Source organism: Homo sapiens, chromosome 4, assembly GCF_000001405.40.
Source record: "Homo sapiens chromosome 4, GRCh38.p14 Primary Assembly".
In the NCBI taxonomy this organism is placed as follows: domain Eukaryota; kingdom Metazoa; phylum Chordata; class Mammalia; order Primates; family Hominidae; genus Homo; species Homo sapiens.
The window spans coordinates 24526827-24548633 of record NC_000004.12 but is presented as its reverse complement, the minus strand read 5'-3'; the positions used below and the strand labels follow the sequence as shown (position 1 = coordinate 24548633).

The 21807-nt window shown below is 35.4% G+C and overlaps 1 protein-coding gene across 3 annotated transcripts in view; it reads left to right on the top strand.

Annotated features, from left to right (window-relative positions):
- DHX15 (DEAH-box helicase 15) overlaps positions 1-21159 on the top strand; it is a 57080-nt gene extending 35921 nt beyond the window's left edge. The window contains exons 7-14 of one of the 3 annotated variants that reach the window (NM_001358.3): positions 5608-5694; positions 6612-6761; positions 7686-7794; positions 8335-8526; positions 11461-11583; positions 15580-15770; positions 18864-19033; positions 20593-21159. In NM_001358.3, coding sequence (NP_001349.2) covers positions 5608-5694; positions 6612-6761; positions 7686-7794; positions 8335-8526; positions 11461-11583; positions 15580-15770; positions 18864-19033; positions 20593-20710 — 1140 coding nt within the window. In that variant the 3' untranslated portion in view covers positions 20711-21159. Of the gene's footprint in view, positions 1-5607; positions 5695-6611; positions 6762-7685; positions 7795-8334; positions 8527-11281; positions 11584-15579; positions 15771-18863; positions 19034-20592 lie in introns of those variants that run through there. The other 2 variants (XM_047449698.1, XM_047449699.1) reach the window with 2 other exon arrangements.
- The last annotated feature ends 648 nt before the right edge of the window (positions 21160-21807 follow it).

Sequence of the window (21807 nt, the reverse complement as noted above, 5' to 3'; positions counted from 1 at the left end):
GGATGGGTTAAGAAAGGATGTTGGCCAAGTACTGTCTTTTCTCCTATTAAATCACTTGTTATAAAGTAAGCACTTTTTCTTTGGTGCCTTGGCCTTCTGCCCATAATTTTGTTTAAGGCTTCCCAAATGTAATGTCTATAGGTGTGAAATGTTGACCCTGTGCAGACCTCTAATAACAGTAGCACTGATCTGGCCGGGCGTGGCGGCTCAGGCCTGTAATCCCAGCACTTTGGGAGGCCGAAGTGGGTGGATCACGAGGTCAGGAGTTTGAGACCAGCCTGACCAACATGGTGAAACCCTGTCTGTATTGAAAATACAAAAAAATTAGCCGGGCGTGGTAGCGCGTGCCTGTAATTCCAGCTACTCAGGAGGCAGAGGCAGGAGAATCGCTTGAACCCTAGAGGCGGAGGTTGCAGTGAGCTGAGACCGCAACACTGCACTCCAGCCTGGGCGACAGCGCGACTCCATCTCAAAAAAAAAAAAAAAAAAAAAAGTAGCACTGATCACACTGCATAAGTATGTGAGTTCCTGGAATGCAGAAGCTTCATCTAGATCCTGTCAAACGGACAGGAACAAGATTATTTCAGCCCTATTTCTGAGATACTTTGTTGAGGGGCTGGGAAGACATCTTTGATTCCCCATCAGCAGATATATAGTCCCCATCAGCAGATAGATATAGATATAGATATAGATATATATATATATATATATATATATATATATATATATACACATACATACATAGAGAGAGAGAGAGAGAGAGAGAGAGAGACATATATGTCTTAAATATTTATATAATAAGTTAATGCATCCTCCAGGCAAAGCTTTAATTTTTTTTTTTTTTTAAACAACATGGGGTCTCACTATGTTGCCAGGGCTGGTCTTAAACTCCTGGGTTCAATCAGTCCCCCCTCCTGGGCCTCCCAAAGTGCTAGGACTACAGGCATTAGCCACTACGCCCAGCCCTCAGCCTGCCTAGTTTTCATTTGTCTTGAAATCATGTGTACTTTGTATATCTGTATTTGTTTTATTTTTAAAACGTTGTGTTTGTTTACCATTGAGTGAAACTGGTGTACAACAAAGATGTCCTGTTTGTGCATCCTTTTGTGTACTTCTCGTTTCATTGAGTTCTTCTTTGAGATATATGGGCCCATATTTACTACAGTTACACATCTGAGCTCTTGCTGTCGTTGAAGTAAATTAAAGTTTTTGTTTCTGTTTTGCTTTTTGTGTTTTAAATCCTTAGGATGCTGAGGAGAATTTTGTCTTACTGAAAAGAGTGACTCAGCAGTGGCTGGATATGTGATGATGGCCACAGCTGGTGATGGGCTCACTCTGAGGACTGATCATGAGCTTATAATTCAAAACTAGGGGCTATATTGCCACTTTGCCATCCAGTGATGGTGTTTCAGCCGAAACTGTAGGACCTCTTGCTGGGAAATCATGTTATCCTTGCCTTGAGTCAATTTCATCTTAGAGGTTGAGAAAAGCACTGATGTAGCTTCCCTGGACAGTCCTAGGGAGAGTAAAGGAAGACTTCCTTGGCAGTTGCTGCATCATTTTCATTATGAGGAAGAACATTCTGAGGCGCAGCATGTTAAGCACAAATTTAAAGTTTTCATACAAGCCTGGCTTATAGAGGAGGGATCTATACAAGTTTTACTGTTCATATGTAATTTTAAACTTACTGTTTGTGTCTAATTGTGAAAAAATATTTGATTTTTTTGTTAAACTGTTCTAATATAAGGATAGTAGCTAGCATAAAGCAAATATATAAAAGTTGAAAGTTTTTGAACAAATATAATACTTAATACAAATTTTAATTTCCATCAAATTAATTGTGATTCTGTATAACTTTATATTTGAGTCCCTTTTATAAGGCAGTGCCATTTCTTATTTCTCTATTAGTTTATGAAAAATAGATTTTATAACTTGATTGTGGTACTAATAAAAAACAGCCTTTTAAACATGTTACAGCACTAATGGTGAACGATTTCAAGTTTTTAGCAATCAAGAAAGGTTGAGAATGCAACATATATTTATATGAGGGTAAATATTTTTACCTCTTGATAATTTTTGAAGTTTATTCAAGTATTTGACTAAGTTAAAAGTTACAGTAATTCTTTACATGCATTCAAGTTTACTCTTCAGTAGATAACTTCTGCATTTTTTGACTGAGACTTAAAATTGCTATTTTGTGGATTTGGTTGTTATTAAAATACAACTATAATTATTTTTTAAATATTTAGTGTTCATTAATTTTGTTCATACAAATAGCTGACTTTTCTATAGTTGATCCTACATTTCGCTGATTAATATGGTTCAGAGCATACATTGCTCAGTGAAAAAGAGAAATGGCCCTTGTGGAGATGGTCCTGTAGTTTTAAAGAAAGACTTAATGATCCAGGATCTGAAGATAGCTTACTGTGGTGCTGCTGGGATGTTTATAAGCAAATAAGTTGATGTCCTTGTGTTGGAGACCACCACAGAGTTCCCTGGGGACTAAAAGTCCAAATTAGTTTAAATGCATTATTGTGTCCAGACAGTATTCAGGTAGGGCAAATGAAGTACTGCGAGTTCTACTTTGAAGTGGAGTTATTGGGGGCGGAGTGGGGGGAAGTGGTTCTATTAGAAAAAAAGTGAGTTCTATTAGAAGGCAGGTTATTGAGGGAGGAAAATTTACTCTTAGCATGTCCTGACAGTGATGCCAAGCTTTTCACCATAGGGTCTGTTCCATATTAGTCAATGCGGTTTGAACACTTTTTAAGGCTCTTTGAACGCTTACTGCAGTGTTGCAGTCTAGAAAGCATGTAACAATTATATTGATTCTTACTGGTCATAATGTAAATCCCTTGACAAATTCAAGGTCATTTTGTCTCCTGATGGGTTCCTGGTTGTATGGTGTGCCATTTACAATTAGAACATGGTTAGGGCTTGCCTCACTCAACTGCTGAAGTACCAAAGAAGCTTTTATCTTGTCATTTATTAGTTCGCTTTTGCATTGTGTGTGTGTGTATTTAGCCTTAGCTATTTTTAGTCCTTGAGAAAGGCCTAAAACTTGTGCTTTTTTGTTAAGGACTCAATTTAACACTTGTATTTTAGGGTTTGACTTTTGGCTGGCAATAGGCTCTTACTAATATCAATAATGACGAGGGTTTGCCAAGTTGGCATAAATCATTTGATTCTTAAACACTTGCAGAATCATGTATCCGCGAATTGTTAAGTATTACAGAATTTAATACACTCACCCAGACAAAAAACATACACACAGGATGAAATTATTTTGTGGAGAAAAATTAACTTTTTATAATGGTAACTAAAGAGTTGGTCACATGAGAAATTTTTATCACATTGTATTATGTTATAGAAGAAATATGTGAAATGTATTTTTTCCCAGAACAACTTTTTTAAAAGTGATTTTCTTCATAAATATTTTCAGAACTATGGTTTTCACCCCAGAATTCCAGAAAGCCAGAAGACGTCTTCTGTATTTACAGGCATGTAGTTGGTTCTGTATAGATTTGAGATAGGGTCTCAGTCTGTTGCCTAGGGTGGAGTTCTGTGCCATGATCATAGCTCACTGCAACCTGAACCTCCTGGACTCAAGCAGTCCTCCCACCTTAGCCTCCTCGGTAGCTGGGACTACAAGCATGTGCCACCATGCCTGGCTAATTTCTTTTATTTTTTTGTAGAGGTGGGGTTTTACTATGTTGTCCAGGCTTGTCTCAAACTCCTGGACTCAAATAATCCTCCTTGGCCTTTTTAAGTGCTGGGATTACGGATGTGAGCCACCATGCCTGGCCTATTCTGTATAGTTTATAGAGCATTTCCACATCCTTACATAATTTATTCCCTACAACCCTGTGTTATGTAGACTAAGTAATATGCAAGTTATAAAAGGAATACAAGCTTGGGGGTGTTAAAACCTTTCCAGTTACTTTAGCCACTCAGGTTTGATTGCTAGGTCTGCCAGTTACCTCTAAATTCATCGCTTCTTTAACTACAAGAAACTGACTTTCTAGAATATTAAATGCCGGTTATGCTTATTCAAGTTTCACCTGTTAACCTTATGTATGTCGTTGTTTGCTTCAGTTCTAGTTGCTGATTATTTTTCTAAATGTCCTGAAGAATGTATTTCAGCAACATCATCAAACCACATGTGGTTTCTTATTCCTTTGCTAGTTGTCAGTCTTTTCAACTGACAAAAGGAAACATTTTGGTTTTTGACTTGTAAATTATTCTGAAATACCCTCTTGGTAGATTGCTATTATGTTTTTAAATCCCTGAGGTTTCCTGTTAGTATTTTGGGAAGTCTACTACTTAGTAAATATGAAATCAGAAAATGAAAGTGTTAATATTAAGTAAAATAGTTAATGCAGCAAAAGCCTATGATTTTTAAAGCTATTTGATTTATAAAATTAAGTGTTTTTAAAATAAAATAGGGATAAATATAAATCTTTTCATTTTTTGTATGTGCCCATAGGCATTTCTCCCACATGTGTTTTTTTAAGATGGAACTTTAGTGCTAGTGCTGTTTCCTTCTCTCATGAGTAGGTCTTAACCTTACCGTCAAGGACTGTCCTAAATGCTATTATTTTTCAGTAAAGCTTTTCTTGACTTTGCTATGGAAGTAAACCTTTTTAAATTTCACAGTGTGTCTTTGGTGCCACTCACACTTTCTATCCATGTCTAATCATCCCTTACAAATGGTAAAAGCAGACTCTGTTTGATTCATCTTCTGTATCAATTGCTTGCATATACAGACATCTTCAACTTAATATCAGTAACCTGTTCCTGAAAATCATGTCCTGAGTTAAAATACTAATGAGGAATCCCCATTTCCCATTGTTTAAAAAAAAATTATATGTAACATGTATTTCCCAAGTCCTTAACTAATTTTCTAAAACATATGTAATATATAGTAAAACATGCACGTATACCAAACAAGCTATCATATTAGTATGTAAATGCTTTAAACATTTTCCGTCAATAAAGAATTATAGTTCTTAACAGTTGCTTTGTATGTAGTAACGTATTACATGTCATCCCGTTGAGACCATGCACTTACCGAAATATTTACATTTGATTCTGCTGATCTGTCCATTCTTACTGGATTATAACTTGAGTTTTTTTCCATGTGGCATTTTGTTTAAAATGTTGAGTTGAATTTTGGTGATATAAATAACGAAGTTTTCATTTGTAAATATTGCCCAAAAACATTGAAATATACACTTGTGGAAATTTGAATACTAATTATAAGGGCTGTTTTATCAGACGTTTTGTAAGGCACGTTATATTGCTTCATCAGTATTTTTCTTTTTATGCTGTCCATTAATTTGATTAAGCAAAATGTAATGCGGTTGAGTGATAACCTGAAGTAATAGCTTTGTTGAGAAAGAAGTTGCTGTTGTGGTGTAAACAAAATTTTGGTTCCTTAAATATTAATTTACCTTTTTAAAGCATTGGCCATTGAAGATCAAATGATATTTCTAGTTTATTTGCTGGCTTGAAATTCCTTGTGTCAGTGAAAGTTAGTGGCTGATCTTTAACAGTCCTGTTAATTTTATTTGATATGTAATATAATTTATATACTCTATTTCTTAACAGGTAGTTGTGTCAACTAACATAGCAGAGACGTCTTTGACAATAGATGGTGTGGTGTTTGTGATTGATCCTGGATTTGCGAAACAGAAGGTACATATTTAGTGGATACTTTATAAATTAGAGTTGGTTTAACAGTACTTACAACCAATTCATTTAATGGCTAAAATTTACCTTTCAGAATTATTTTCCTATCTTTTTTTTTATTTGCAAATTTCTGCTGTATGAACCCTTTATGTTTTGGCTGGCTCTCAGAAATTAAGACAGTATTTAATATGTAATTCTAGGCTTTTTTTTCTTTTAGAGTTGCTTTGCTTTCTTTGTTTCAGTGTAGTGACGGTGGGTGTTTTGGCTTGTATATTCATTTAACAGTATGGGTTTAGTAATAAAGTACAGGATTTCTATCCCTGCAGTTCAGTCACTTCTCCCAACATTATTAGAGTTACTGCTGTCAACTAGGCACACTATTTGAAAACAGTACTATGTTACTCCTCTAGTTTAACAGTGCTGTATACTAAATGAAGTGAAATGCAGGTGAAGTGGCTATTCAATAAATACGTTTTATTTTTCAAATATCTTTTGGATAAATTGATTACATTTTGTTATTGATGGAAATTTTTTCATTAAACAGTAACAGAGTAATAGTACTCAGACCGTCGAGTTTTGAAAGTGAAGGTTTCTTTTCGGGCAGAATCCTTGACTGCCCAGCATATAAAAAGCAAGGAACAAGGTCAGCCTGATAGAACTGAAATTAGGAGGAGTAAGGATTATATAAGCTGTGTGTTTGACAAGAAGTTTTTCATGTTAGAGTCTTTCAGATGATCGAATTAGAATGTCTGAAAGAACTTTAAGGTTCAGGATGGTGGGTTGTCTATTGTAGCAGCATGATTTATGGCTATCGATATTTCTTTATTTATTTTGGAATTAACTGTGGGCTTTGGATACTTCTGTTGCATCACAATTTTGTGTTTGACTGAAGAAAGACTCTTGTGTTATTTCAATTCCAATAGGTCTACAATCCTCGAATCAGAGTTGAGTCCCTTTTGGTGACAGCTATTAGTAAAGCTTCAGCTCAGCAAAGGGCTGGTCGAGCTGGACGTACCAGACCTGGAAAATGCTTCAGACTTTACACAGAGAAAGCTTATAAAACAGAAATGCAGGTATGGGGTATTGTCGTTTCCTGCCGATATGTTTAAAATGTTAGGTTGAATTATCTTACCAGAAGAACATTGCCTTATTTACTTAATCTTGCCTTTTAGGATTAAAAGCTCCTTAGCTTTTCCAGGAGTGAAATGTATGGTGTAATTAACTTAGATAGTCGTACACCCCCTTATTCCAGGCTGATACATTCCAAGACCCTCCCCCTCCCACGCCTAAAAACTGGAATATGCTGAACCTTACTTACATATACTATGTATAAATATCTTTCTTTACAATTTCACTGATAGAAGATGCATTCTTTCTTTAGATGTGATTTTTTTGCTCTTTTGTTACTAGGTTTCAACTTTTTTTCTTTCCTTACTAACTTTCAGCGTTTCACTTAAAGGAAGCACTTCAGGGCCTCTCATTGGCATATCCAAATTGCCAGCATCAATATTCTTGGCGCTTTGGGGCCATTATTAAGTAAAAGGTTACTTGAGCACAAGCACTGTGATACTGCAAAAGTTGATCTAATAACAGATGGTTGCTAAGTGACAAATGGGTGTATAGTGTATATAGCATACTACTAAGAATGGTGCACAATTTAAACTTGATGAATTTTTTCTGGAATCTTTAAAATTTTTTCTGTTGACACTGCTTAACTGAAACCATGGAAATTGCGAGTTCAGATGAGTGAAGACTACTATACGAATTTCTTTCTGCAGTTGCGAGTTTTATGGACAGTAGCAAACACTGAATACTATAAAGATAGTTGGAGAAAAATGGTTTCTCTCTAGTCTAGCCTACAAGTATTTATCTCTACTGAGACAGTGTAGAAGTAATGCCAAAACAAATAGCTCAGGAGGCAGCAGATTTTTGTTTTCTGGAACGAGGAGACTGAGGCATTTTTAACATAACCAATAAATGTTTTTGTTCTTTGCTAGGATAACACCTATCCTGAGATTTTGCGTTCTAATTTAGGATCAGTTGTGTTACAATTGAAGAAACTTGGTATTGATGACTTGGTACATTTTGATTTTATGGATCCACCAGGTATGACTTATCAAAACACATTTTTATCAGATCTTTTAACCAAAATTGACTCTTAGTGTTTTTCTCCATCCTATTTAATATATGTATTAAATACATTTTGCTTTTTCCATCCAGTATGCATCAAGATTAAGTCTTACATGATAGCATTAAAACTAAAAAAGGTGACAGTTATATGAGCACATTTTTTTTTTTTCTTCAAAAGTTATTATGGGGGGGTTTGGGTAAATTGAATTATCCTCTGGGCATGAAAATGTGAGAATTCCTAAGTTTTCTTTGGGGAAAAACAGTTTGATAAACACATTGATGAATTAGCAATTATTTAATGTATTTCGGAAGAAGACAGTTTTGCCTACAGGAAAATTTTGCAATGTTTTTATGATTCATTGTTTGCTAGATCTGTATAATTGAATTGGATGACAGTTTGAGTTTGAGTTTGGTCCACTGCAAAATGAAAAATGAGATTGCTTATAATAGTTTGTACTTTGTCACATTTTTGCTTGCTTAAGGCACCGTGTCTAATAGATTGTCTTTTACCACTAGCTCCTGAAACTCTGATGAGAGCCCTGGAACTTTTGAATTACCTGGCTGCTTTAAATGATGATGGAGATCTGACTGAATTGGGATCCATGATGGCAGAGTTTCCTCTAGATCCACAGCTCGCAAAAATGGTTATTGCAAGTTGTGACTACAACTGTTCTAATGAGGTCCTATCTATTACTGCTATGTTGTCAGGTAATAGAGGGAAAGGAACAAAAAAAAGCCCAGCTCTTCAAAGTTTGGGTGGACTTCACTTTTGTTTTTGTTTTTTAATTTTTAGTATGATAGTGGATTTTATAGATGGTTTTAAGGAATTAATTTTGTTTTCTAAATACCTTGTAAATAGCTTCGTAATGACATAGTGCTTACAAAAGTAAAGTAAGTCATTGTGCACAAAAGATAAGTAAAGCATTGGCTCTCTTGAGTGCTAATAAAAATTGCAGTAAGTTTGAGCACAGTTGTAACTGAATTCTTTGGTTAAAGGTCCATCACTGCTATCTTTGTGGTTTTTTTGTTTTTTGTTTTTTACTGCAAGTACAGGAAGAACTTTGCTCTAGTACTTAGCTCTATTAAGTGTGCCTGTGACAAACTGAAAGCTATACATTAAGTTGAGCCTTTTCTATATATGTACTCCAATGGCACCCGAACAAACATGAATTTCAAACTTCATATCAAGTAAATAGAAATAGTAATGTATAATTTTAGGCTTAAAATCTAATCTGATAATGGTATTCTTTTACAATGGTAGAAAAACTTGGTAAAAGAAACATACCTAATATATAAAATCGCTAATTTTGTAAAATTGGACCATTAAGCTAAGGAAATAATGCTGTTTTTAGTAACAATAAAATGTAATCCACAAATGAATAGTAACTTGGAAATTAGATTTTCCCTAAAGGAGAAGAAATATTGTTAAGAAACAAATGAATAGCTATTCTTACAGCTAAAAATAGAAAATAAGTTCTTACTGACGATTAAAATATTCTCTGCTACTAGTTTTAGCACGGGAGAGAACTGACTCCCTATTGCTGAGTGGTTTATTGAACTTAATGCTGCAAATATTTCAAAATATTCTGTGGAATTAAAGGATAAATTGAAAAAAATTTAAATGTAAAATTATGGCTTAGTTTAGACGTATGGTATATTCTAATGGTGTGAATTTTTTATTTAAGAAGTAGCTAAAATGTTTTCTTGCAGAGTTATGACTGATCAGACTCAGAGCAGATGGGCAGGGCAGTATTGAGTCACTTTAATTAAATTGTAGCTTCATTTGCGGAGGTGGTGGTAGGTTGTTGTCTGCCTTTCTTATATGTTGTTTTATAGATTCTCCCAGTTGTACTTCTCCCAAGATTTTAGTTTTTAGAGAAAGTGTGGGGCAAGAACTAATGGATTGTGTACTTACTTGTCTATCTGCCTAGTTTTTATTTCTCTAGGTTCTCTTATCAGATATACTTACATGATTACTGTTGTTTGAGTTTAGAATATTAGCTCTTTAAGAAGTTTGTTGTTGTGATGTAGTTGTAATCTTCCAACTACATCTCAGTTTTATTTGTAATTAAAAAAAACTTATTTTTATTTATTACAAATAAAAACCTTTAGTTTGTCAGGAGAATGAGCATTTATGTGCAGCAATGTAAATGGACTGTTTTTAAATGGTCCATTTATAGGAAAAGTGTTGAAATAAGAGGCAAGTAAGAAGTCAGGGAATAAAAAATAGTTTGCTGAGCTTGTAATGCTTTGTTTGACATTAAAATAGTTTTTGAAGTTTTGAGGTCCTGATACTAACAGTGCAAATCTAGAGGCCTTTGAGAGCACTACTTATTTATTCCCACTTAACTCTAGTGGCTAGTTCACATTAAAATTCACAGCTGTGAGAAGTTTGTGTGCTTTTATGAATTACCTTGCTTCAATTAAATTAAGCAAGAGTTTTAATATTTATTATGATCATGTTTTGTTGTCACTATTTGGCTATTTTGGCATCTTTTTAAAGGGGAAACTGTATGGGAAAGAGTAATATGATACTGTATTTTATCTTGTTGTTGATTATTCCCATTATCTTCTATCCGAACCGATAATTTATGAATTTTTTCATTGACAAGGTTTTAAGAGCTTTTAAAATGTGTTGAAAAAGTCCCAAGCTGTTAAGTATTTTTATTTTCATACTGCTTTTATGACTATGGAATTGCTAAACTGAATTAAGGAAAGTTGTATTTCAAAAAATGTAGTACATGCTTTGTAACAATTTAAAGTTTTATGTGAATTAATATTGAGGCTCTAAACAAATAACTGTAGTTACATATCTTGATGACCCTTGATATGATTGTTTCAGACTAATTGTCAACTTTTGAAATATTGGACTTTGCTTTTATATTGAGGTTTTGATTCAAATAAGTTTGTTTTTTTTCTTTTTTAAATTTGGGACTTTATTTTCTAATCCTTTTGTTAAAATGCTGAAACACTAGGCTGAATATCCCAGCCTTTTTGAATTTTCTTAATTCAAAGGCGGTTTAACCTTCCACCACTACTGCTATCATCCAAACCCAAGAATTCTTGATATTTTTATGTTTACATATGCTTCTGCTCACCGGTGCTAATAGTGATACCCACCAGTTGGTAATAGCCACAGTATTAGGGAAAAAATTCTGATAGAAACATGGCAGTAGACTGGTTTCAAAGTTGTTGTTAGCTCTGCAGTGGGCAAGCATAGCTTCCTAACTTTCACAGCCATTCAGTAGATTTAGTGGATGCCCTTTTGAAAAATTACAGTTAGCTAAAAGGCAATTGACACCGTTATTCTGGTTATTGGTAGAGCTATCAGCACTGGTTTTTTTAAATAAGTTGAGCTTTTTAGTATCCTGATGGCCTTCAGAATAGCTGTTTTGATGCCTACTTTTAGATCTAGTTAAAATAATCAGGTACTCTGTAGCTTTGAAACCCTCTTGTCTTACAGATGTGGTTAGGTGTTGATGTACCAAATCAAGGTAGTAAACAATCCAAGATGCAGTTGGAGGCCATCCTGCCCTGCCCTATGCTCTGTGAACTGACCTAGCTAGGCCTTGTTCCTCTATCTGTGAATGCGTGACTCATCGATATGGGCGTTTGTGTTGGGCCCATACCAACCTTGTTTAGTCCCACAGTGTTTTGTTCGCCCCACGGAGGCCAAGAAAGCCGCAGATGAGGCCAAGATGAGATTTGCCCACATAGATGGAGATCATCTGACACTGCTGAACGTCTACCATGCTTTTAAACAAAGTAAGTGTAAATTTGATTGGAGACACTCTTGTCTAAATGTCACTTGCAGTGTATAAGATGTTTCTTTGTCCCACTTTGATTTATTATCCGTGACAACTTATATTAGAAACCCAGAGGTACTTTTGAAAAACTCCTGACGAGCATTTAAAATAGAAATTGCCAATCTTTTTCAAAGTTGTTTATGTTTATAATCAGGGGATAAAGCACCAATTGTAGAAAACCTGAAAAATAACAGTGATAAAAATGACAGACTTGTATAACATGTATCACTAACATACACGTTTTTATATACTTTTATTTCTGTGCATTTTACATTTTTAAGAATAGTTTTATATTGTTTATACAATCATTACTCTAACATTTTTACTAATAAAGAACTTTTTACACCAAAATAAAACTAATAGAAAAAAATGGACAAGTATGAATGATGGTTCTTAGGCTACCAGTGGTCTCTAAACATGATATGGAAAAGTTCAGCTCTACTGTTAGCCCAAGAAGTGCATTATTATTTTGGCATTATTATTGATAATGAAAGGCATTACCATTTTCTCACATAAAATTTGCAGATATTGAAAAATATTCCTTAGCTGTATGGGAGTGGGGTTAGTTGTGGTCTTTATGAAAAGTTGATTTTATGTTACCAGGAACTTTAGCAACTGTATACTCTTTGACCCAGAAATAATTTAGAAAGTTATTTTTTGGTATTCTGTGGACACTGATTTGATTAAATAATTTCACCAGAATTATTTATGGTGGTAAAAAAAAAATTGGCTACCTAAATGCCCACCAGTGGAAAAATTGTGAGTTATGCTGTAGACATATGAAGTAATTGTTCTAGCTTTAAATCATCTTATCATAGAATATTTAGTGACCTGAAAAACATTTGTCAGTGACTTGTAAATGAGGAAACATAATAACAATGAAGTTATTGCTAGCTGCTGCTGTTGGAATGTACCATTTGCAAAAATTGAGAGGAAACCTTAATAAATTTAAAGGAGAAAAAAAATACAGAAATTGCAACTGGATCTGACATTTTTTTTTTAACTGATAGCCCTACATCATCACCCTGTGCCAAAAATGTGGAATTCTGTCACTAAGTTTGTAGTTTCTTCTCATGAGAAATTGGTTTCTTAATTTATAAAGTTGACGTTCCAATTTTGTATGTCTGGTTTTATTTGTAACTCATTTTTATTATCTCATAAACATCTCAGTTATACTCTTAAAATGGGGAGCCTGTTGACTTTGGCACATCTCTGTAGGGGTGATGGTGAATTTATTTGTCTTGGGGTCCAGAAGTGCTAGAGGGCCAGTGTGTGCACCAGACGTAGTACCTAACTTGATTTACATCTGTTCCTTACTCCAGAACCCTGATATGAGTTGAAAAGAATTGATGACTAGCAGTGAGAAAGAATGGAGCCCTTCTCTGCCCAGGCCCAGAAAACTTGGGGGCAGATATGAGAGTTAAGGGAAATGTGGTTATGAAACCACAGGCTGAAGACCAGCACATGGTTTACCTTAGAACAGTTATTTAATCTTTCTTGTATCCAAATACTGGTATTACCTAGCGTTAAAGACTTACCCCTGATTAGACAGATCTACTCAAAAAACCTACTGTATTCCTCTTCTATGCGAAACATGCTGGGTGACCAAGAGATACATAACCTATTAAAGCCTTGAGAAGGAACAGATTCAGTCAGAGGGGATGTAGTAAGTTAAAATGGTGTTATCCACTCACTAGATGTATGACCTATTTCTGATAAATACATCAAAATACTACTTTCTACATCAAAATACAACTAATAAAATAGAAAAACGGACAAGTATGAATGATGGTTCTTAGGCTACAAGTGGCCTGTAAACAAGAGGTGGAAAAGTTCAAGTCTATTGTTTGCCCAAGAAATGCATTATTAGTGAGAGGTACTATGATCTCTCACTGCCAAAGGGATGATTAGCCATTGGTGGTTTTTAGGGGTTTGCAGTATGTGATGACTTGACATTTGGTAGAGCTGTCCTTATTAGTTAAAGGTGAGGATTTAGCCTTTAATCACTGATTGCCACCTTTTCAAATAAGAGAAGCTCTTAAAAAAAAAAAAAGCAAAAAACTTTGCCAGATCCCCACGTGTTATTATTTCGATATATCCATATATATATGGATATGAAAATATTTGGAATATTTTCACGAAAGCTTTTTAAATGGTTGTATGTTATTAATTGAAACATTGAGTATATTTGAAAAAAGCGTGTTTCAGATACTGGTCAAGATGTTTTGCATTAGAGACAATAGTTGATTACATAGTGAAGCTAAAATGTCATGTCAATTAAAATGTTGTCTTAATACTATTTATGTAAATAACCCTTTGAAATCGAAAACTAGATTCAAGTTATTTTGCAGTACCTTGATCTGTCTAGGGAGGGGAGATTTCTCTCTAAAAATCAGACAAATGGTTTGGCTTTAGATCTTAGGGGTGGTTTACTGTATTGGTGAGAGATAAACAGCTAGAATTATATTAATGTTTCCAGTTTTAGATTTAATTTTCCCATTTACCCAATTATTTCTCACAAGTTTAGAAATACAGTAGAACCATCAGATGTTAGTTACTAGTCATTTGTTCTTAACAAATAACTTAGATTTGCAATTTTTCCATCTGTAGTACATGAATTCTAAAAATTGAGAACCACACAAAAAAGCTACATTTCAAGCCATAGTCTGCAAATCAACAACCTTTTCAAAAATTTGCCTTTTTATTGTCCAGCTTGGGCATTTTTCTGCCTTTCAGCTTGTTACAGAGCATCAGCATAAGTAAAATTACCTCTAAGGTGTGCTGTTTCAGCTCCCAAAGATATTCAGTGCTTTGATTTAAATGTCAATGGCTTCAGATGGTTAACTTTTATTTCTCATTCCAGATGGATTAATTAATGGGTGTTCTAATATGTTATTGTATTCTTTAATTCAAAAATCTATTTCCTATCTCCACCTCACCCATCCTTAATTTCTGAAATGGGGATGCATTTTGTAATGGATAAAAATGTACTTATATATTTGTTATGTCTAAAAAACATTAAGGCAGAGTTATACACTATAACTGGTAGAATCCTAGAACCAAAGAGAAAAGAGTATGCTGAAGATAAGCATACATCACAGTAGCAAGAGAAGGATCAACAGTTTTAATTTTTGTTTTCTCTCTCCCATTTCACAATAACCCTGTTAGTTTTATTTATCAAAGGTCCTCTGAAATAAATAATGCAATTCTTTGCCATGACTGTCTTTGGCACATGAAAGATGTCACTGTAAAATTTCTTTCATGATGCTACAGGTTGAGCTCTTTAAGTGAGCAACACTAGGCTAGTTGGAAGCTTATCAAGGATTCATCAGTGGAGAAATATCCTTTTGATAATACATGTAATAAAATTACTTGAAGTGCTTAGACTTAGGTCTTGTTTATTAAACATGAGTGGAGGTTTCGGGCATCCTTGTAAACTTTCTTCTGTTTCAGGACTTGCTCATAAATTGCTGAGAGACACGTGTGTCGCAATAAAACTTTGCCGTCTTTAAGTCTGAGGTGCTCTGTGTCAGGCATAAAGAACAATACACAACAATTGTTTGCAGTTATCTTAATCTAAAGCTGTAGTTTCATTGAAAATGAACAGGCCATGACTTTTACCAAATACTTCCAGCCTTCCCTTATCTGATAGACCATCTTTTGGAAACAACCAGGTGGATGTTAATGGGAGAAGTAATTCACTAAAAACAGTTAATTCAAAAGCATTGTTTTGGCATCCAAATCCAAAAGCCTTGTTACTGTTTCTAATGTTGAATCACACTACAGATCTTTGAGAAAGTTGGTAACATTGCAGTTCATTTAAAGAAAATGTTGTGGGTAAATCTCCTTTCTGGTTTATTTAGCTTATTCTTTATAACAATTTTTTTAATTAGAGAACATTCCTGTGTGGGTGATTCATGGTGCCTTCTTTTCTCCCCGCCTTCTACCTTTTTAGATCATGAATCGGTTCAGTGGTGTTATGACAACTTCATTAACTACAGGTCCCTGATGTCCGCAGACAATGTACGCCAGCAGCTATCTCGAATTATGGACAGATTTAATTTGCCTCGTCGAAGTACTGACTTTACAAGCAGGGACTATTATATTAATATAAGAAAAGCTTTGGTTACTGGGTATTTTATGCAGGTATGTAGATAATATGGGAATGAATAACTAAGTATTCATATGACACTGATTTCTATTAACAGTCCTTTGAATCCACTCAAAAGCAAAAGTGAGTTTGTGCATGCTCATAAAAATTTATCTTAAATGTTGGTACATCCAGTTTCTTTGAGTGAATTAATATACTAAGAAATTTTAAGTATTTAATGAGTAACAAATTAATGTACTAAATGGCTAAGGTAGTCTAGTTATACAGGAATCGTTTTTAGAATTATTTTATTAATAGAGCCTTTGTTATACAAAATGGAAACTTTGGCTACTTTCAGATGTGATTAGGCACCTGTTTCTTCAGGAATGTGAATATTGATCAGTGCATTAAAGTTTCTCTGAATCTAGGGCTTAATTGGAAATACATTGTCATAACAGAGTACTAAAAGGAAGCAATTGAGCGGATCCAAAAGTACATACAGTTGGCTTTAGTCTTTATCTAAAAACTAAGCACCTCCAAATTCAAATATTCAAATACGTGGATTTCATTTACAGTCCTCTACAGAGTGATCATTGGTAATTATGACCAAGACCCTTGCGTACTGCAAAAGCCAAAAACGTCTGTTGAGTAGCAATAAAGATGAAACATAATTTAAAAGGTTTTATTTAGTTTAAGTATGCTGTGTTAACGGCTATAAGAACAGAAGTAAAACTTGTCAAGTAAATACTGTGAACAGTTATTTTAAGGTGTTTATAAAATAAGAGAAACTTTGAGAAAAATGCAAGAAAATTTTGTGGTGATAAAATTGAAAACAAATCACCTGATTTGGGATAAGTCTCTTCTATCTCTTTTCTGTTTGTTCATTCTCTCTTTGGCTGTGTCTTTTAAGCACGATGTGGCTTACCCTTAAGGCCAGATGGGCTCAGTAGCTAGAATATGAGCCTGAGGACACTCAGTTTCAGAATCAAAAATCAAAGGAGATTGGTGAGATGTCTGTATTTGAATCTAAGTAACACAGTGTTTATTGTGGCATCTTATTATATAATAGGCTTATTAGAGTTTGGTGAATGATAGGTATGAGCATTCTTTCTTGAAACTCTTAACTATATTCTTAATATTTGATATGTTGTACTGGCTTCTCTTTGACATGTTCTGTTCTTTTTTAGGGGGAGGGGATGGGGTGAGGGAGGCAATGTCTCACTCCCAGGCTGGAGTGCAGTGGTGCAATCACGGCTCACTGCAGCTTTTACCTCCCTGGGCTCTGGTGATCCTCCCACCTCAGACTCCTGAGTTCCTGGGACTACAGGCACGCACCACTATGCCTAGCTAATTTTTGCCTTTTTGTGTGTGTAGAGAGAGGGCCTCGCCACGTTGCCCAGGCTGATCTTGAACTTCTGGCTTCAAATGATCCTCCTACCTCGACCTCCCAAAGTGCTGAGATTACAGACGTGAGCCACCAGGCCTGGGTTGACATGTTCTTAAATTTGCTTTTTATATTTCAGAAAAAAACTGGCCGGGCGCTGTGGCTCACGCCTGTAATCCCAGCACTTTGGGAGGCCGAGGCGGGTGGATCACGAGGTCAAGAGATCGAGACCATCCTGGCTAACATGGTGAAACCCCGTCTCTACTAAAAATACAAAAAATTAGCCGGGCGCGGTGGCGGGTGCCTGTAGTCCCAGCTACTCGGGAGGCTGAGGCAGGAGAACGGCGTAAACCTGGGAGGCAGAGCTTGCAGTGAGCCGAGATAGCGCCACTGCACTCCAGCCTGGGCGACAGAGCGAGACTCCGTCTCAAAAAAAAAAAAAAAATTGATGAAACTATATTCAAGCATTATACTTCTTAATTATGTAGATTAAAATTTGTTACAAACAGCTAGGCACCACAGAGTGTGCTTGTAGTCCTAGCTACTAGAGAAGTTGAGTGGAGAGCAAGGAGCGTTGAAGCCAGCCCAGGCAACATAGGAAAACCCTATCTCTTTTTAAAAACAAACAAAAAATTTATTAGAAACAGCATGCATTATAGTACCTGACACCTAATAGGTGTTTAGTAAATATTTCGAATGAAATTGAGTTTCTTTTCTATTATTCATGCTCATTCTTTAAGCACAGAATATTAGAATTGGAAAGGGAGAACTGTCCATTTTGATGAGTATCACCAGTCAAGGTGTTACCAAAAAAAGAAATGAGAGGGAAGCACGTGCAAGCTCTTTTTTTTTTCCCATTTTTATTTTCCTGTCTTTGTAGGTTACCTTTTTCTTTTCCTCTTTGCCCTCTTTAGTTTTCTACCTTATTTTTTATTCTATTTCTTTATTTTCTTTTTTGAAATGGAGCCTCTCGGTCTGTCGCCCAGGCTGGAGTGCAGTGACTTGATCTCAGCTCACTGCAACCTCCGCCTCCTGGGTTCAGGCAATTCTCCTGCCTCAGCCTCCTGAGTAGCTGGGATACAGACACCCGCCACCACGCTTGTCTAATTTTTGTACTTTTAGTAGAGATGAGGTTTCACCGTGTTGGCCAGGCTGGTCTCGAACTCCTGACCTCAGGTGATCTGCCTGTCTCAGCCTCCCAAAGTGCTGGGATTACTGCACCTGGCTTTAGTTTTCTACCTTAGACATGAATGTTCTGGTAATTGTCTGCTCATAGTTGGCGCCCAGTGCTGAAGAGCCTGCTCTAGATGGTCTCAGGCAGGAAAGATCAGATAGTAAATGTTGGGCTCTGTGGACCCATGAAGTCCTTGTCAAAACTACCTAACACTGCCTGCTCTTGGAGCATAATAGGTATAGACAAATGGGCATGCCTGTGTTCTAATAAAACTTTCCTTATGGATACTGAAGTTTGAATTTTACATGCTACTCATGCTTCACGGAATGTTTTTTGTATGATATTTTTTCTTTCTAATTAAAGATAAATAAACCATTTTGGATTCACAGACCTTACAAATAGAGGCTATGAGTTGGATTTGGCCCACAGGCAGCAGTTTGCTTATCTCTGCTTTTATCAGACAGTGATAAATAAGTATAGCCATAGAATGAAAAGTAAAAGGGAGGCCTGCCTCTTCCTAATTATGTAGGTAGCTTTACAACTAGCAAGTCAGAAGCATTGTATTAATAATATACTGGGTTTTGGTTTCAGGTGGCACATTTAGAACGAACAGGGCATTACTTAACTGTGAAAGATAACCAGGTGGTTCAGTTGCATCCCTCTACTGTTCTTGACCACAAACCTGAATGGGTGCTTTATAATGAGTTTGTTCTAACAACAAAGAATTACATCCGGACATGTACAGATATCAAGCCAGAATGGTAAGTACACCTTTTGTTCTAACAGTTTTTTGTTAGTACTTTGCTCAAAATGGAACCTGACTGTTGCTAGAGTCATGGCCTTGCATTCACTCATTGAGAATTTATATTTCAGTGTGTAGGTATGAGGGAATTGACTGGATGGTGTGATTAATCTTTCACACCCTTCCTTTGTTAAGTGGACAGTGGGATTGTTGATATTTATGGGCAGGATTTGAAGCCAAATGTGAAGTTACATTTGAATAGCATGAAAAGTTTCTTCAGGGGCTGGGCATGGTGGCTCACACCTGTAATCCCAGGACTCTGGGAGGCCAGGATGGGAGGATCACTTGAAGCCAGGGGTTCAAGACCAGCCTGTGCAATATAGCCAGAATCCATCTCTACTAAAAGATATATAGGTGTGTACAAAAATTAGCTGGGCATGGTGGTGCTGCACGTCTATAGTCCCAGCTACTGGGGAAGCTGGGCAGGAGGATTGCTTGAGCCCAGGAGTTTGAGGTTGCAGTGAGCTATGATCATGCCACTGTACTCCAGCCTGGGTGACAGTGAGACCCTGTCTCTCAGACATACTTTTAAAAAAGGGTTTTTTTTTAATTTTTTTAATTTTTAGAGTTTCTTTGGAGCCATTCTCTTGCTGTTGTGATTCTCAAGTCAGTACTGTTTCTTGCTTGCAGAAATCTGTTTTTTTTTGTTTTGTTTTGTTTTTTAACATTTTTTTTGTCCCATTACAATTAGCCCTCAACTATTTATTATTTATATATTGGTTTTTAGGAACTGTGCAGGCATAAAAATGATAGCTCTTTGTGTTTTAACATACTAGCTTCTACAAAATGTAGAGTAAGAACGGATTGTTTTATTTTAAGCAAAATAACCCTCACCTTCATGGTTTTTTGTTTTATTTATGCCAGAATCTATTCTATAACCTATGACAGGAAATGTCAGCCAAGAGTAGTGGGACTGAAGGCACATATTCTAGGTGCTGTCACCGCTTTATATTGTGCAGCTGCTTTCTTATACGGATTTGGGACTTTTGACACTTAAATTGTGTAGGACATTACCATTTTATCTTAAACGCTTTGTTGAGAAAAAAATTATATAGCTAAACTTTATAAAAGATTTCAGTCAAGTGTATTTTGGGGGTATAGAGTTACAGTTATTAAAACATTGAAAATGAAAAGATCCAATCATTTGAATACCACGATGTTTCCTACACAGAACCTGTTATATATTACTATATCCTTGGAGTGGCAAATTAATAGTGTGCCAGAGTAAAGAAATCAGTGACTTTATCTGTTATCTTTACATTAATGTATCTTGAGGGGTTTGTTATTAAGTTTATGGTAAGTCCAACATCAGAAAATTCACATCTTACTAAATAAAATACTTAACACATTTCTAAAAGTGCTATTTGTAAGGATTAGTTATTTGTATTTTTCTGAGACTTGAATTCATAGATTTGCCTTGGTTCATCAGTATATTAATGAATAATGCCTATCCTATTAACAACTCCAGTACTTCAATTAAATGTTAATTTGGAAATTTTTCTGCCCACTTCTAAACAGGTTGGTGAAAATTGCCCCTCAATATTATGACATGAGCAATTTCCCACAGTGTGAAGCAAAGAGACAGTTGGACCGCATCATTGCCAAACTTCAATCCAAGGAATATTCACAGTACTGAATTCAGTGCTTAGAACTGAAGTTATTGAGAGGACAGCTTTAAAAGATGAATGAACTCAAAAGTTCGAGTTGTGCTCTTCACGTTGGTTCGATAATGGCCTTTATTTGAAAGCTTTTTAATTTTTCTTTACAGTAAATATTCCATTCTGATTTCATAAATTAAACATTTATGCCTCCCTTTTGTGTTGACACTGTAGCTCATACTGGAAAAGTCGATCAATGTTTTGCAGTTTATTGAAAGTAGTTCTATATATAACAATGTTATAAGCATTTCTTTAGAAATGGTTGAAAATGCTTCTAAAATGTGATTATCGACCATGGTATGCATGATCGTTGTAATTGTTGACATTCCTTTTAGAAGTTGTGAAATGTTACAACTTGTGCTTATGTAGACACAATCTTCTGTCTCAGTACAGAGGCACTGACTTCAATAAAGTCTATTTATACTAATTTTGGCCAAAGCCCTTTGGTATCTTTGTTCTAGTCTCTAAGTATAGTTGTTTTTCAAGTGTGGAGCTTTTTTATTATTATAATTATACTGTTACTACATATTTAGTATCTTTCTACCAGGAGTACTCCTTAGGAAAAGTAGCTGTTAAAGCAGTATTTTTAAGAGCATGGCTTAGCGCTTTGTTAGGTTAATCAGGATGTGATCGATCTAAAAGGGGTAAAATGTGTGTAGTGATCATTTGAAACTGGACCCCAAAAGAGAGAATAATGAAAGGAGAGCTCTCTACTTGTCTTTCTTAGAGTTCCTTTCATAAGGCTCATAATTTATTAACTACATTTTTGTCAGATGTTTTTATTATACTTCTAGCTTCTCAAACACGTTTATTAGTATTAGGTAAGAGGAAAGCATATTTTAGATCTCAGTTTAACAAAATTCTTAGTGATGGAAGTTTTATGCAGTATACAAAATAATTTGTATAGTGTGTTAAAATGTACATTTGACCTTCCATTTTCTATGACAGGCAGTAGACAAGTTGAAAACTTGTCTACATTCATTTTGGAATGAAAATTGAGGTGTTTTATGTGGCCCATAAAATGTTTTTTAATCAGTTATTTTCATATGAAGACTAAATACTGTACTCATTAGTC